General features: G+C 33.4%; 1 protein-coding gene across 29 annotated transcripts in view; it reads right to left on the reverse strand.

Moving 5' to 3' along the window:
* Positions 1–18,310, reverse strand: part of WDFY3 (WD repeat and FYVE domain containing 3) — a 297,094-nt gene that overhangs the window by 146,540 nt on the left and 132,244 nt on the right. For all 29 annotated transcript variants that reach the window (XM_011531759.3, XM_047449858.1, XM_011531763.4 and 26 more), the window contains 6 exons: positions 15,277–15,469; positions 12,868–13,054; positions 10,679–10,845; positions 4,948–5,415; positions 3,949–4,050; positions 1,256–1,449 (listed from right to left, as the gene is read on the reverse strand). In XM_011531759.3, coding sequence (XP_011530061.1) covers positions 1,256–1,449; positions 3,949–4,050; positions 4,948–5,415; positions 10,679–10,845; positions 12,868–13,054; positions 15,277–15,469 — 1,311 coding nt within the window. The remainder of the gene's footprint in view (positions 1–1,255; positions 1,450–3,948; positions 4,051–4,947; positions 5,416–10,678; positions 10,846–12,867; positions 13,055–15,276; positions 15,470–18,310) is intronic.

The following is an 18,310-nucleotide window of genomic DNA, read 5'->3' on the forward strand; positions in this document are numbered from 1 at the left end:
AGGAGGCCTGAATCCTTACAACGGAAAATTGTATTTAGAAACCTTGCATCAATCAATAAATTAAAGAACATAAATTTTAATGGACTTCTTTCACTTTACTCAGATATTATTTAAATACAAGAGCAGGTTTTTAGTCACAGAAAGAGAAGGCTATGTCTCTTTTTATTAAAACAACTATTATTCACAGCAGATAAGCTGAAAGCACAGCTTTACAAAGAGACTACATGGGTTCAGATCTAGACTCCTCTACCTACTAGACAGACATATAGAACTTGGGAAAATATTTCAACCAGTCTGTGTTTCAGTTTACAGTATGTAAAGCAGGGACACTAATAGTATTTATTTTTATCATAAGGATTAAATAAGTAGATGCAGATAAATGCATACAACAGTACTAATAGAAAGCAGTCAATAAATGTTAGCTACTATTATATCTGGAACTTGGAAATTTTTAAAATATATCATTTAATATTTAATAGTCTACTTTTCCATTACTCCTTACTTGCATTACTAAATTCACTTCTAAATGAAAGTGAAACATTCGATTATAGTTTGATTCTAAAAATTTCTTACATATCATTTCTTATAATATCAATAACCAGTAATATGGGAGAATGTGAGTGTATAAATCTGTATAAAACAATGGTGCTGTGGAAATAAAACGGGTATTGAAATCTGGGGGTCGGTTCTACTAATTAAAAGTCACTTAAGTGAACAAAATCCATGTTATATGATTTCTCTAAACCTAAGTTTTCTCATCTGCAAAACAGGGTGCTACTTAATTTATAGTATTACTAAGGAGTAAATGATAAAAGCATATGTATAACTCCTGGTATATTGTTTGATATCTACTAGAATATCCATTACTTACATACATACATATATGCATGCATGTGTATAAAATGCCAAATCTAACATTCATTTCACAGATGCATAACACTATGAGTGAATTTAACTGATCAGAAAATACATATATTTAGTATTAATTAAGATCCTATACTTCACTAATATTTAATTTAAGAGTTCCAGTAAGTCAAGATAATTACTGAAAAGGTTTATCAGCAGAAGTAAAATATATACTGAAAGACATAAATGACTGGAGTTTTTCCAAGTTCCTAACGTGTACAAAGTTGTGAGGTTTCTTGGGTAATTTGGATTTTTTTTAATTTCCCTGTCTCTAACTTAAATACAGATCATCTAAAAATAACCACAGATTTTAGTAGTAAAAGAAGGGAAACACATTTATCAAACTTACCCTTAAAATATCAGTCTTCAACTGCAATTCCGTCGGTGGGGCTGAATGCATTAGCCCCAGGAGAGTGCCCATGTCATCGTCCCCATTTGGGGAGAGCACCAGCTGTTGGATAGTCATCAAGGCATGCTGCCGGCATTGAGGGTACTTTACTATATTATGTGCACATCTTGCACCTCCAAATTCTCGAAAAATTCCTTGAAGGAAGGAGAAAAAGTCCAACAATGGCTACTTTAAAATATTCTGAGACAAGTCAGATGAATTAACATTCAGTTATTTTTTGTAGGTAAAGTAACTCATAATAATGTAAATAAAACCTACCCAACTATTTCACCTTTTAAATTACAATACAAATTTGCACAGTGGGTTGTCAGCAAAGGTATATGCAAATTTTCTCTACATTTCCTTAATGCAAGATTAATGCCGTGATATGTTCACCATGTCCAAGCTCTCAAAATCTAGAACATTCACAAGTCTCTTAGGCAGACCCTAGGAGACTCTCTATTGTAATCAACTTATGTAAAAGGCTTTCAGAGGAACAATAGCCTAAATAAAGGAGATTTAAATGAACATGGCTTCCAAAATAGTAGCAAGAAAGGAATGGAATAAATTATTCCACCATGGGAAAAATTACAAGGAACCAACATGTTTTGTTGCACAGGTAGAGCATAAGAACAAAAAGTGACAAATTCTGTAACAGAAGTATGTGTCATTGTTACTGCTCCAAAGCCTTTACACAGATTGACTTACTTAATACTCATCCCCTACCATATAGAGGTAAGGCGGTCAAAGTCATACAGCTAGTAAGCAACAGAAAAGGATGTATGCCTACATAGCCCAGCTCTGTAAGCCTGTGCTCCTGCTCACAAGTGATACTGTTCTCACATCAAATATTAATATCATCCTCCAGTATTAAAAAAATGGGCCCAGTGACTGAAATCACTAATTAGTATTTCCTCTAAGTAATTCTTCTATCCCTTACGTTTTTAGGGCATCTTGTTTATATCTCTATTATGGTTTATAACAAACAGTCTTACTATTATTGCTTATGTTTGGTCTTCCATGACTACTGGATTTTCTCCTGATTTGTGTTTCAATAAACGTTTACTAAAACAGTGTATTCTGCTATAGCAGCCACTGTCCTCTCTGCTTAGTGGCTTTCTATTTGTTAACTTTATAAAAATTATAAGATCATGAAGTCAGTCTAAGCCATGTGCTTGAGATTCAGCACATGGAATTTGTGACATCCTTTCATTACCTGAAGGCCTGTTTAGTTACCTCCTGGTTGTCAGTTAGGACCCACTAGATAATCATAATGGCTAATATTATTTAAATACTTAAACTATGAGTAAAGTACTGTTTTAAATGCCTAACATCACACAGCTAGTAACATCTTTCATACTGGGAAAAGAAAAACTGAAAAGAATTGTATGAAATTGTTTGGCACTTTGGGATATGTACTAAGTGACTTTTAGTCGTGCAGAGTAAGCTCTCCAATTGTCCAATCTCTTCCTGTGCAACTTCTAGGTCGTCTCAAGGAAAGCTAATTTGCTAAGCAAATTCCTGTTAGTCTATCTTCATTATGTTTCTGATTATCTCAGTTAACTAAACCTAGTTAGTGGAAATAAGATTATGCATTATGCCATAGACAAAATGTTACTATAGTATCCACTAAAATTCATCATACTCATTGTTTCAATTACCTGTTAAATTCATTCAAGTCTATCTTAGCATTTGCCAAATTTGTATCAGACTAATTACTTCTATAATTATGTGTCTACATTTTTCTTCACTAGATTCTAATTCCCAGGGAGCAAGAATGATCTTACCTTAGCATCTAGGTGTTAGAATAATCTAACACCTAGCTAGCATGGTACCTGGGATACACAATATATTTTAAATATGATGAATGCTGAGTTTCCCTGCATTCAGGCAAACAGTCATGCATTTGGGCATGGGGTTCATTCATCCATGGCTTTCCATAACACTTAAAATATATTTCAAGCTCCTTACCATGGCCTAAAAAGCTCCCTATGATTTGAGCCCAGCCTACTAATCTGAACTCATTATTCCTCTCAAGTTGTACTGAACTTATTACCTGAGAGTTGTTTGATGTTAATTAAAATCTCAAGTAATCTTTTTTAAAAAGCAAGAGTGATATTTTATAAATATAGTTAGGTTATCTGTTAATGACAGGTAGAAAAGTATAAAAGAGAAATTGAGACCAAAATTAAACAAAATATTTAGTAAAGTTAATTAACCTTGGAGAGATTACGTTTTATTAGAGAATCATTGTTCAGTATTTCCTGAAGGTTGTAACATTATAATACTCTAACTTGTAGTACTAAAAATATTCTTTAAATCACTGTGTAAAGAAAATATTTTAGAAAGAATTTAAATAGCAACTTATTTGAGTAAGAGTGTATCAATAAAAAATTAGAAGAATACTTTCAACACAAGACACTATAAAAAGCAATTTAAACATCATTTTGAAATAGTAACAATCTTATATGTTTTGTCATCAAGGTGCTCCTGATGGTCAAAAGCACTGCATTTTTAGGGACATGACGGGTACCATCACTGAATCAATAGTTTTTTCTCTAAAGTGACAGGAAGATTTCAGAAGCAAGAATAACCACAGAAGATGTAATCAGTGGTAATCTCCCAAAGTATTTGCTTGCAGCTTTTTAAATTACCTGCATTTGTGTTTGATCCTTGAAGAAGCACTGTCAAGGTCTCCATAACCAATAAAGCCAGGTGTTTTTGGTCTTCAACTGAACTATTATTTCTTGAGTCCCCTAAAAAAAGGTTCAAAGGTCCAAATTACAAAAGTGATAAGCTTATTTTTTCTTGATTCCGTTTTACTGTAATAATTTCTTTATTTCTTCAGTATTCAGTTTTACCCCTAATAGGACAGATATAATATAATCTTTAAAACGATGCATGCATCCAACATTTGGCAAAAGTAGGCTCAAAATCAATATTAACAGATTTTATTTCGGTATGCTTGCAAGTGGCCGTTATCCAATAAATATTAAAAATGAAAATGCAAAGGTTAAATATATCCTCTTCACAGAGGGTTTTCCTAATAAAGGATGTCAACAGGAGAACGCTAGATTTTGATACACCAAAAAGAGAGAAAAGTTCATGAATAAAGCTATCTATTCAACCTGTATTAATTCACATTTAATACTTATTAATTGCCAGATACTACTGTACTTTTATCAGATTTATCAGAGAGGTACCCAATGATAATACATTGTGTATATAACATCATTAAATATACGTATTTGCTCTGTACAATAAAAACACATTGAAGTAACTATACATTTAACTATATTTATTAGTTGTAATTAATAACAAATCTGATTATTTTCAGAAGCTTTTAAAGCTCGCTCTTAGAAGCACAAGGCAGTAGATACTAGTCATGTGGATCATACATGTTTTCCCTCAGTTTTTACCTTCCTTTAAACTCTCTCCAATACACTCACATAATTCTAGCTTCCTCCTCCTCAATTACCTAACAGAGGTTGAATGAACCTGTAAATTTTGGAAAATACAGTTCACTAATATGTCACAATAATGCACATTAGGAAGTCATTGAAATCAATAACCAAAGAATGGGAACAAGAACAAAAAATTCTCTGTTTTGAACCCCTTTTCAAATAAAAATAAAATTACAGACAATACTTTACCTTGTTCATTTAGTGCCTGAGTTGGATCCTTCAACAGGGCAGCATATTTATGCAAAAGGTTTACCATGACCTCCAAAAGGCCAACCTCCCTGAACACGTCTTTAAATATGTAGTCATGTCTTGTAAACTTAAGAAGTGTTTTCATTGCAATAATGCTACAGTGATAAGAAGAGCTAGATTTTAAGAGGATACTGACACTAATAAGTTCTTTACAAGGTATATAATTTAAGCTAAAAACAACAAACTCCAGCATCTCAAAGTATTTGTTTTGTACTTCTGGGAGTTTAGAAATCTTCTCTGCAAACTGTGACAATGTGTGCTGTGACTCTAGGATGAAGTAATTGGCATTGTCAGCCATGTAAATATTTGTGATAGCATCAAGGATGATTTGGGCAAGGAAGCTGGTTTTTGCTTTTAAAAATGCATTCTGAAGAACTGCAAAGGCCTGGACGTTTCTCACACTGTGACCTAGAACAGAAAAGAAAAACATAAAAGTAGGTACTATGTGATATTTTAATGATGGCAAACTAGTCTGTTTAAACACATCATGAATTATAACATTTATCAATTATTTACTAAGAACATAACCCTGTTTTCACAAAAGGTCTTATTTTTCTTCATCAGGTTCAAATCATTTAATTAAAAATAACAATGATTAAAACTTTAATGCATTATTATGAATATTTCAATTCAAAAATAGTGTATGTTGAAAAGTTAGACTGTTTTAGAGGGAATAAAAGCATATTATTATAAACATCCATGCTTCAGAGTTTAGAGTGGTAGTTTTATTATCTATGAGATTGATTTTGACTATAAGGACAGCTGTCTCTCAATTTAAAAAGACTTTGAGGCTGAAGAAGTTACAGGCCTGAGAGCAGCAATAATGAAGCAGGAAAACAGGAGGGGAAAATTTTTCTAAATTCCAGTTTTCCTTTATAATTAGAACACTGTGATTTTTATAAATTTTAAGCTGGAAGTTTGTTTTGTTTTCTAGCTAACAGTACAATTTCTTCATATAGACATTTGTTAAAGTAATTTATGGCCAGCTATTCAAACGTACCAAATGGGGAAAAAAAAACTTTATACATGGCTCTGGTGAGGCAAATTAGTGACAATAATTATAAAGAAATTAAGACAGAAAGTTCTATTTGAAGTACATGAAAATAAGCAGCTTGCCTGTAAAAGGAGTCCCCAGAACAATACCTATTAGGAGTATATGGCATTTCCAAGTATGACCAAAAAATTAACATAGTGTCTGACAGAATAAGCTGGATTTCAGAAAGAGTATAAACCAGAGAACTACCAAAATTAGTAAATGGAGCAGAAAGAACACTCAGGGCTGGGGGCAGTAGCTCACACCGGTAGTCCTAGCACTTTGGGAAGACTGCCTGAGGCCAGGAGTTCTAGACTAGCCTGGGTAACATAGCAAGACCACCTCCATTTCTACAAGAGATTTAAAAAAAAATTTAGCTGGGGATGGTGGCATGTGCCTGTAGTTCTAGCTACTCAGGAGGCTGAGGCAGGAGGCTGAGGCAGGAGGATTGCTTGAGCCCAGGAGTTTGAGGTTGCAGTGGGCTATGATCACACCACTGCACTTCAGCCTGGGCGACAGAAAGCAATCCTGTCTGTAAAATAAACAAACAAACAAACAAAAAAGAATGCTCAGAAATCTTGACTTCGACATTTCTTAAAAACACAGGAAATTTAAAAAATCTCCAGCCTATATATGATTTCAATTCTCTAATTTCTTGTTTATTACATGTATGGCAAATACCAAAAATTTATCTTTGTTTCCTGTGTCTATCAGTCTATCTAAGTTTGTTTTTTGGTTACCTACATAATATAAAAAGTAAAGATGTCTGGAAAAGAATAATCAACATCTCAGCAGCTTTTCAAAAAAATAGTTCATGTGATTATTAATTTATATGGAAAATCAAAAGACTTAGAATAGCCAATATGATTCTGAGAAGAAAGAACAAAACTGGACAACTTAAGTGACCTGATTTTAAGGCTTATTATAAAGCTACAGCAATCAAGACAGTGTGGTATTGGCTTAAGGACAGGTACATGGATCAATCAAACAAAATTCAGAAAGTGTCTCAGATATATGTAGTCATATATGATATTTTCAACAAAGGGTCTTGGCACATTCAGATACCCATATTAAAAAAGAAATCCTTACTTTCTACCCTCTATGATAATAACTTAAAATGTACCATAGACCTTAATTTAAAAGTTAAAATATGAAACACTGGATAAAGAAAAAATCAGAAGAAAACATTAGAGATCTTTGTGAATCTGAAGTAAAGATTTCTTCAATAGGAGAAAAACAATCACAAAATATTATTAAAATGAAAAACTGGACTTCATCAAAATTTAAAACTTCCATTTCTCAAAAGATGCGTTAAAAAAAAACCAGCAAGTCAAAACTAAGAGAACACACTTCCAAAATACATATTAAGGGATAAAGAACTTATACAGAATATCTAAAGAACTCTTATAACTCCAGTAAAACAACCCTATCAAACAATGGGCTCAGAGATCTGAACCAAGGTAGAGAAACAGATGGTGACAAAGCACATAAAAAATGCAAAACTTCATTAGTCAATTATAAAAATGAAAATTAAAATAACAATTAGACATTATTACATACTTAGTAGAATGTCTAAAATTAAAAGGACTAACAATACCAAGTGTTACTGACAGCGTCAAGCAACTGGAACTGACATTACTGATGTGAATGCAAAAATTGGACAGCCACTTTAGAAGATACTCTGGCAGTTTCTTGTAAAGTTAAACATACATTTACCATATGATCTAGCACTTTAACTACTCTGTATTTAGCTAAAAGAAATGAAAACGTATGTCCACAGAAAGATTTGTTTTATATAAATGTCCACTGTAGCTTTATTCCTGATAGTCAAATAAATGTCCATCAACTGGTGAAGAGATACACAAATTGTGGACTATCCAAACAATGAAATAATACCCAGCATTAAAAAGGAACAAACTTCTGATACATGCAATAACATAGGTGATTCTCCAAAGTATTACAATATTCTCCCCATTTTCATGGTTTTATTTTCTGTGGTTTCAGTTACCCATGGTTAATTACAGTCTGAAAACATTACATACAATAAGATATTCTGAGACAGAGTGCTCATGCTCTTAAGAGAGAGCACACATTTACATAACTTTTATTATTGTGTATTGCTATAATTGTTATATTTTACTATTATTGTTGTTAATCTCTTACTGTGACAAATTTATAAATTCAACTTTATCATATGTATGATGTGGAAGAAAAACATAGAATATATAGGGGTTTGGTACTATCTGTGGTTTCAGGTATCCATTGGGGACCTTGGAACACATTTCCCCCAGTTAAGAGGGGAGTGATTAGATAGAATCCAGATACAAAAAAAACTATATACTGTATGATTACAGTGTATTAAGTTCTAGAAAGGGCAAAACTAAAACAGACTAGTGGTTGCCAGGGCAAGGGTTAAGGTGGGGAGGACTGACTGCAAGGAGAACAAGGAAACTTTCTAGACGGTGAAAATATTCCACATCATGATTACGGTGGTGATTACACAACCATATCCACTTGTCAAAACTCATCAAATTCAACACTCAATTGAGTAGATTTAATGTACACAATTTACACCTCAATACTGCTAGAAAATGTAAAAGACAACCTATTCCACATTCTTTCTATAATGGAATACAGCTATTTCCTATGATCCTTGCAATAATGCTAAAAGTAGGCCATGAGAAACAGAAAATTTTGAGTTATACAGGAAACTCAAAATGATGTAGCTTCACCCATTCACTTTATAGAATATTATGCCAATTTTTCTGAAGAAGAAACTGATGTTTAGAAAAGTTAGGTCACTTATGATTACATAAATTCTGACTCTTAGGGCATCATCCTTTCTAGATAGCCTTACTTTCATAGACATTATGTCACTGGATTCTCACCATAACCCTGGGAGGTGCTAGGTTATATAATTATTATCCCTGTTATGAATGAGACAAAACCAGGCAATGATATATGCACAAGATTAATTTTGCTGCATTATTACAAAATTAAATTGTTGTGATTAGCTATTATGCCAATATCAACATCACATTGATAAACCAAATGAAACAACAATAAAGTATAAAATAGGAAGTACATTGCTGCAATATTTTTATATTAATTCATAGGAAGATTTAACTGTAGAATGATCAAGCTGGAATCTATAAATTAGAAATTTTCTGAGAAGTCTCTATTTTTTTTTTTTTTTTTGCTTTTAAGAGAAAGGGGGTCTTGCTCTGTCACCCAGGCTGGAGTGCAGTGGTGTGATGACAGCTCACTGCAGCTTTGAACTCCCGGGCTCAAAAGATCCTCCTGTGTAGCTGGGATTACAGGTGTGAATTGCCACACTATTTTTTTCTTGATAGTAAATAAAATGAAACCTTAAATCACTTAGGGAAACATGGATTTCTCCCTATTTACTGCAGAGACTCATTTAAAAGGTTCTAAACAACTTATGTACTGAGGGCACATCATATTACACTGATGACGCCATCTATTTTCACTGATTATAGACTGTTAATTTCTAACTCATAACATATGTATTATAAATTTAAATATGTATTACAAATTTAATACATAACATATGTATTATAAATTTAAATAACCAGACATGTTTGTATTTATTGGCTGGTTAAATTTTAAATGGAAATATCATGATCCTATTGAATACTTAGTAAGTGACAGTCATGTGAATAAAAACTATTAGAGGCCTCCAGGCTCAGGTTACTTTGAAATGATTACTGTGCATTTTTTGAAAAATAAAATACATAATAAAACTAACTTGCATAAGTATGTAATTAAATATTATTAGGATCCAAATGTTTGGAAATCTAGACTATAAAAATTTATCCTCCGACCCAAATGAAATAATGTAACCTCCGTACATAGATTTTGCTTAGTTTTAAATAAAATACAAGCAGTTATACTTCATGCTGTCCATAGTCAGCCGCTGTATCCATGGGTTCTGCATCTGTGGATTCAATCAATCACAGATGGAAAGTATTAAAGAAAAAAAAAGGTGTGGTTGCATCGGTACTGAATATGTACAGACTTTTTTCCTTGTCATTATTTCCTAAACAATACAGCAAAATAAGTACATAGCATTTACATTGTATTTGGTATTTTAAGTAATCTAGAGATTATTTATTTAAAGTATATGGGAAGACGTGTAGGTTATATGCAAATACTATACCATTTTATATCAGGGACTTGAGTATCTGTGGATTTTGGTATCGGCAGGGGGTCCTGGAACCAATCCCCCACAGATACTGAGGGATGATTTTATGTCTTAATAGGTACAGAGATTAGGCTGAAAATTGAGTTCTATCCACGTAAAGTAGAAATGCACGAAGTGCCAACATTCAAAAGAAGCATGTTTTGATTAAATTGTTTGAATGTTAAAAAATACTGTAATATAAATCTCCTTGTTTGATTTTATATTTTTATAATATTATTTTCAAGTATTTGATCTGCTAGATTAAAGGTTATTACTTAAGAAATACTTAAACCATTAAAAAAAAAACAAGCTTTAAGGGAAACTATATTACTTTTATATATATAACAGAAACAAAAAGTAATATACCAAAATAAGACAAATTCATTCTTTCTCTATTTCTCTCAGTAGCACAGAAGGGAAAAAACAAGACTCACCTTTGCCTGCAGGCTGAGGTACTGCAAATCCAGGCAATAAAAAGGGTGCCCCTGTGGTAATACCAGCTGGTTTTAGTTCACTGACACCATATGTTGTTAGGGAAGTTATCAGATTAACCAGATCTTTCAAGGCATCTTTGGATTCTGCCTCTTTTGCTTGTTCCAATCTAGAAAAGTATGATTTAGAAAGTATTTTTTTTCTCTTTGGTTGTGTTCTCAGATTTAACACAAAGTATTTTTCAATTTTATATGCAGTAAATAAATGTATAAAGTACTCTGGGAAGTACTGAAAGAACACTGGGGTCATTAGGGAATTATCTTTTAACCACGGCTTTCCTGAGAACACAAAATGGGTTGCAACAAATACCCTTTAAAAAAAAAAAAGATTTATTGGGTATTTCCCCTTAAAAGAAGTAATTATTCTCATTAAAATAAACCTGGAGAATGCCAAAAAGTAGGAAAGAAGAAAAAGTATGATTAGCCTCACAAACACATTTAACATTCTTATTCTTAAGCTTATCTTTTTAATATGAAAAGTTTAGTTTTTACAATATTTATTCTCATACTATATACAGTATGTTGTAACCTATTTTTTTCCTTTACTAGTGCTGTATGTGTACTTCCACACATTAGTGTAAGCTTTCACAGGTAAGCTTTCAGGGGCCATGCAGAGCCAACCACACATTTGGGGAGTGAGAGTTCCAACAGCTGGCATAATGCAAAAAGCACTAATAAATAAAATCTTGTCTACAAGATTTGGATTATATCTTTAGGATCAATAAACATAAATGAAATTATTGTATCAGATTACCAACATTTTTAAGGCTCTTAATATCTTGCCAACCTACGTTCTCAAAGGATAAATCAATTAATACCCCTCTAGTAATGTGAAGTGGTTATTTCATCAACTTTCATATGTATTTATAAACTTGCATATATATGCAAAATGATATTCTTAGGGGTTATCTAATATCAACTAGCAGCAACTAGGTTAAATTGGTGTTAGAAATAACAAGTTCTGGCCAGGCATGGTGGCTCACACCTAAAATCCTGGTGCTTTGGGAGGCTAAGGCAGGAGGACTGCTTGAGGCTAGAGTTTGGCACCAGCCTGGGCAACATAGGCTCTACAAAAAAAATAAATAAAATATAGCTGGGTGTAGCTACTTAGGAAACTGAGATAGGAGGATCTCTTGAGTTAAAAATTATATCGAGCTATGATTATGCCACTGCACTCCAGCCTGGGAACATAATGAGACCCCAGAGGGAGGGAGGGAGGGAGGGAGGAAGGGAGGAAGGAAGGGAGGGAGACAAGTAAGTTTACAAAACAGTGGTGTCTTATAATAGATCAAATGATTTAAAAATAATTAATGGCCCAGGAATAGCTGCTGAAAAATGGTGAGTATCTTCTTCTTAAGAAAATCTGTAACCAGCCACTTTCTAAGTATGTGCACGAACCATTTGAAATGGAAAAGGGGGTTAAGTAACACATTTTGAAATTATTAATTTGTTTCATATACACAGTTGTAAGGTTTTATTCCATCTACATAATTATTCTTATTAAGTACATTAATAAAAAGACTAGAAGTACTATAAAATAAAGAACCAAAAATATAATTAAGAAGAGTTTATACTTTAAGAAGATATTAATTAGTTTATCTAAATTCTTCTCCCTCAGCTACTAAAGAGCAGATTTATGCTTCATATCTAACCTCTGACTTCATCATGTTTGTGCCCTGCATTTGGCAATTTAACTCTAAATTCACTTTTCCACTCTGTTGGCAGAACAGGAATAAAAAGAAGGGAATAGGCCAGGTGTGGTGGCTCATGACTGTAATCTCAGAACTTTGGGAGGCCAAAGGATTGCTTGAGGCCAAGAGTTTGAGACCAGCCTGGGCAACACAGCGAGATCCTGTCTCTATGGAAAATGTTTAAAAATTAGCTGGGTGTGGTGGTACGTGCCTGTAGTCCTAGTTACTTGGGAGGCTGAGGTGGGAGGACCATTTGAGCCCAGGAATACGAAGCTACAGTAAGCTGTGATTGCACCAGAAAAAGAAGGGAGTAAAGCCAGGTATACATTAAATAAGTGTTTCCTTAATTTGCTTTTCCTATAACCCCAAATCACATTGTTTTCTTTGATAAAAAAGACTGAGTAGACATTTAAAATACATTCTTAAATTGAGCAGTCTTACCTAAGCAAGAGATCACAAAGAAAATTATATCCTTGCCATATCCGAAAATCATCCAGAAGTGTTTGGGAAACATCGCTGGAATCTTTGAGGAAACAAGAAAGCCCAGCAAACATTTCGACAATTTCTAGGGGAGACAGGTCATCTGATTGCTGCATATTCTGAACACATGTAGATAAACACTCTTTCTCTGTAAGAATAGATAATTAAATAAATATGCATTATTCCTGACAATCGCTTAAAAATTTTTTAATTGTTAACTGTTGTTTAATGAAACATTAAATTTTAACATATCTGTAAAATACTATGAGATAAATGTAACACATTCTAAAAGTCAATATAAGAGTCATATGCATTGGGAAAGCACTGCCTCTAGGTAGTAAACAAAGGATAATACAGAAATGTGTTGAAAAATAGTTGACATGTATGTACCTGTCATTTTTTCACATATTTTGATGTTTTATCATTAAACAAATGGCCACTGCCAAATGATATTTTTGATCTTTTATATTGATATAGTAACAAGATGAAAAAAGCAAAAAAACTATCTTCTAAGTTTAAGAAGAAAAATCTAGTAATTAGTTAAAACTTTAAGTTAGAGAGAATATATAGCCTGGCTAACATGGTGAAACCCTGTCTCTACTAAAAATACAAAAATTAGCTGGGTATGGTGGCACGCGCCTGTAGTCCCAGCTACTCGGGAGGCTGAGGTAGGAGAATCACTTGAACCCGGGAGGCAGAGATTGCAGTGAGCCAAGATCACGCCACTGCACTGCACTACAACCTGGGTGACAGAGCGAGACTGTCTCAAAATAAATAAATAAATAAATAAATAAATAAATAAATAAATTAGAGAGACTATAGACCAATGAGATACAGAAATACTTTAGGAAATACAATTTTTTAAATTTTATTTGTATAATATATTATTAGTTTAAAACACAGTTATATCTTATCCCTGACTCTGAGGATTTGTAGCATTTCAAGGAAGACTTTCACTTTCTTATCTTTGGTGGTATGTATTTGTATAAAGAAACTCACTGTTACATAACAAAAGCTAAGATTTAACAGAGGAATGGGAGGAAATGTGTATTTAATAACTGACTCATATATTAGGTACTAGCTTTCACATATGTCACTTAATAAATGTAAGTGAACAAATTGGTGTATTAATTATTTTGAAAGAGTTTCAGGACAGTAATATCAGGTAGTTCTCAACTTGATGATTTGACTTAAGATGTTTCTACTTTATGATGGTGTGAAAGCAACATGTATTCAATAGAAACTGTACTTTATGTAACCATATAAGCATTGTTTTCCACTTTCAGAACAGTATTCAGTACATTACATGAGGTATTTAATACTTTACTATAAAGTTGATTTTGTGTTAGATGATCTTACCCAACTATAGGCTAACATAAGTGTTCTAGCTACTTTCAGGGTAGGCTAGGCTAAGATATGATGTTCGGTAGGTTAAGTGTATTAAATGCGTTTTCGACTTACACTATTTTCAAATTATGATGGGTTTATTGGGACATAACCCCACCATAAATTGAGGAGCATCTGTGTATATACCAAATAAGTAGATTGCTTGAGATGCTAAGGCAATTGTCTCCTATACAGACATTTTAAAAGATAGCTGAATATTACATATACTTTAAACCAACAGTGTCTTCTTACTGCTGATAAAGAATCCACCTAATTCCATCTATGCTGCATGACAGATTATTACCTAGTAACTTATGCAATATCTTCAGAAAGACTGGTTACAGGATATCAAAAAAACTTCTTTTTTATTCAGTAAAAGAAGAGAGAAGAATAGGCTGTGACACAGAACTTTCATTACATTATGATTGAATTTACACAACAATGAAATTTTTTTTAACTTTTAGAAATATCCATTGTTGGCCAGGCGCAGTGGCTGACGCCTGTAATCCCAGCACTTTGGGAGGCTGAGGAGGGTGGATCACAAGGTCAGGAGTTCAAGACCAGCCTGGCCAAGATGGTGAAACCCTGTCTCTACTAAAAATACAAAAATCAGCCAGGTATGGTGGTGTGCACCTGTAATCCCAGCTACTCAGGAGGCTAGGGCAGAGAACTGCTTGAACCCGGGAGGATGGAGGTTGCAGTGAGCCAAGATCGCGCCACTGCACTCCAGCCTGGGCGACAGAGTGAGACTCCATCCAAAAAAAAAAAAAAAAAGAAATATCTATTGTTCAGAACTTATGAGGAGAATGTTTTACATTTGAAATGCCCCACAGATGAAAAAAAATATTTTCTTTTCTCTGGGCAAATTTATTTTTTATTTTAAAGAACAAGCTTTAGAATACTGAAAGATAAAAATAAATCTATTATTAAATGAAGAAAAGTGGAAGAAATTTAGAACACTTAAATATATAAAGAGATATTCACCATGAATATACTTCACTACATTGACACTAAGACCATGACGAGATATGGTCATGAGGACTTCTCCAGCACTCTTTCTCCAAGGCAGGTTATAGGGAGGGCACCAAGAGGTTATTGCACTGAATAGAAGCTGGAGATCATCTTTCTGAGCCAGCTCCTCCGCAGGGGAAACAAAACTGCACAGTTTCACTAAGATCTAAAAAATAAAACAAAACAAAACAAGAGTGTATAAGCAAAAATCAAATAATCTGATTTAAAAATGGGCAAATGAGCTGAATGGACTGCTCTCAAAAGAAGACATAGAAATGGCCAACAGGTATATGAAAAAATGCTCAACATCACTAATCATCAGGGAAATGAAAATTAAAACCACAATAAAGTATCACCTCAAGCCAGTTAGAATGGCTATTATCAAAGATAAAAAAGAACAGATGCTGGTAAGGAAGTAGAGAAAGGGGAACTCCTATATACTGTTGGTGAGAATGTAAATTAGTACAGCCATTATGAAAAACAGTATGGAGGATCCTCAGAAAAGTAAAAATACAACTACCATATGATCTAGCAATCCCCCTACTGAGGGTATATATCCAAAGGAAATGAAATTCGTATGTCAAAGAGATAGCTGCACTGCCATGTTTACTGCAGCACTATTCCCAATAGCCAAAATTTAGAATCAACCTAAGTATCCAACAGATGAATGGATAAAGAAAACATGGAATATATATACAATCTAATACTATTCAGCCATAAAAAAGAATGAAATTTTGTCATTAAAGGCAACATGGATAAGCTTGGAGGACATTATGTTAAGGAAAATAATCCAGGCACAGAAAGATGAATATTGAATGCTTTCATTCATATGTAGAAGTTTAAAAAGTTGATCTCATGAAAGTAAAGAGTAGAGTTTTGGTTACCAAGGGTGGATAAGGGAAGGCGAGTGGGGCAAGCTAAAGGCTGGTTAAGGGATACTGAAGTATAGTTGGGAGTAAGTTCTAGTGTTCTATAGCACTATAGAGTGAATATTATTAAAAAAACAATGTATTGTATATTTTTAAATAGGTAGAAGAATGAATTTTAAATGTTCCCAATGCAAAGAAATAATAAATGTTTGAGGTGATGGATATATATACGCTAGTTACCCTTGATTCGATCATTACACATTGTATACACAAAAATTATTACACTGTGACCTATAAATATATGCAATTATTATTTGTCAATTAAAATTAATAATGAAAGTTTAAAAACCGTAAGAGTGTATGTAAGTAAATAAATGGCTGATTATGTTATGACAGTAAACTAGTCCTACTTATATCACCTGATTTTTTAAAAAACATTTACTATCCTCTCTTCACCCTAATATTTTTGCATACCGTGGCTTGAAACAAGATAAAATAGCATTGCTTTTCCAAGTCAACATTTTATTTTTCTAACTTAGTTCTTTAATTTTTAGTTTGCCACTGGCGAAATGTAATTTTCTTCTCTAAAAAGGACAGTTTTAGAAAAAAAAGGAAGTAAAAATAGATCTTTAAAAGCAAAGATATTTTGAAATTTTTTCAATTTTCTATACAAGTAATAGAGGATATTAGAGTATAAATAATCTTCATTTCAGAGTATTTTAAATCTAGTTGCCAAAAACCTAAAGTCTGGCTTTCAAAGAAGACTCAAGACTTCTTAAGTACTGGAATGAGAACTTATTCTTTAACTGTGATTTGCAGAATACATACTACACAAGAGCACACACCATTAAGAGCCTGCCACTTGGGAATTCAGCAATGGTTTCTGCCCTCAATGGGCTCTTTCTTCTAATACCAGTTCAGGTTAGGAAAAGTTAACTTTTCTTCTCTTTGCTAAATTTTCTCATCTAAGTATTTTTTAAAATATATAGTATGAATGAAATAACTATAACTCATGACATCATTTTATTCTCTTGAAAAAGAGCGCTTCATGAAATTTTGGTATTTCAGCATCAGTGGAAAATAGCAGCCAGGTGTGGTGGCTCATGCCTGTAATCCTAGCACTTTGGGAGGCCCAAGGTAGGCAGATTACTTGAGTCCAGGAGTTTGAGACCAGCCTGGGCAACATGGTAAAACTCCATCTCTACAAAAAATTAGCTAGGCATGGTGGCAAGTTACTCAGGAGGCTGAAATGAGAGGATCACCTGAGCCCGGGAGGTCGAGGCTGCAGTGAGCTGTGATCATGCCACTGCACTTCAGTCTAGATGACAGAGTGAGACCTTGTCTCAAAAGAGAAAAAGAAAAGAAAAGAAAAGAAAAGAAAAGAGAAGAGAAGAGAAGAGAACAGAACAGAAGAGAACAGAAGAGAACAGAAGAGAAGCGAAGCTCAATAGAGAGAGGTAGCTGAAATATCACATTTTATCTGAGAAAACTAGGCCTTCCTTTTCCTATTTCCCTCAAATGCAAAAACTTGCTTAGATATAAAAGCTTTCTAATTCATAGCTGCCAAGTATCAGAAAGGAAAAAAAGGTTTAAGAATTCATAAAAACAATAAAATATTTATAAAATCAGTAAATATGGTACCCTTCCCACCAAATGCCTGGAGAAACTGCTGGATACCAAATGTCCATTAATATGTGTAATATGTCATCATCTTTTACCATATGTGAATACAGACAGTTAAATGCAACAAAAAAGTGTATTCTCAGAGGGGTGTATTAGTGATTATAGTTGTTGTTGGTTCTGACACTGCCTTATGTGATTAGCGAGACAAATGCCAGTTTTCCAATTTGGTACATAGAAAACAAACCCACAAATAATAAAATACTTTTTTACAAATCAAATCACTGTTCTCAAACTGGATGCAAGGATTTCTTGAATTTGTTGACTTATAAGATAACTGGTTCATCTTTATAGGCAGAAGGATTCTTACAAATAATCTAGTACGATCCTTTCATTTTTACAGAACAGAAAACTGTAAAGTCAATTTCTCATTCCTGGCTGGGTGTGGTGGCTCACGCCTGTAATCCCAGCACTTTGGGAGGCTGAGGCGGGAGGATCACTTGAGCCCAGGAGTTCGA

This window comes from Homo sapiens, chromosome 4, assembly GCF_000001405.40.
Source record: "Homo sapiens chromosome 4, GRCh38.p14 Primary Assembly".
Taxonomy (NCBI): domain Eukaryota; kingdom Metazoa; phylum Chordata; class Mammalia; order Primates; family Hominidae; genus Homo; species Homo sapiens.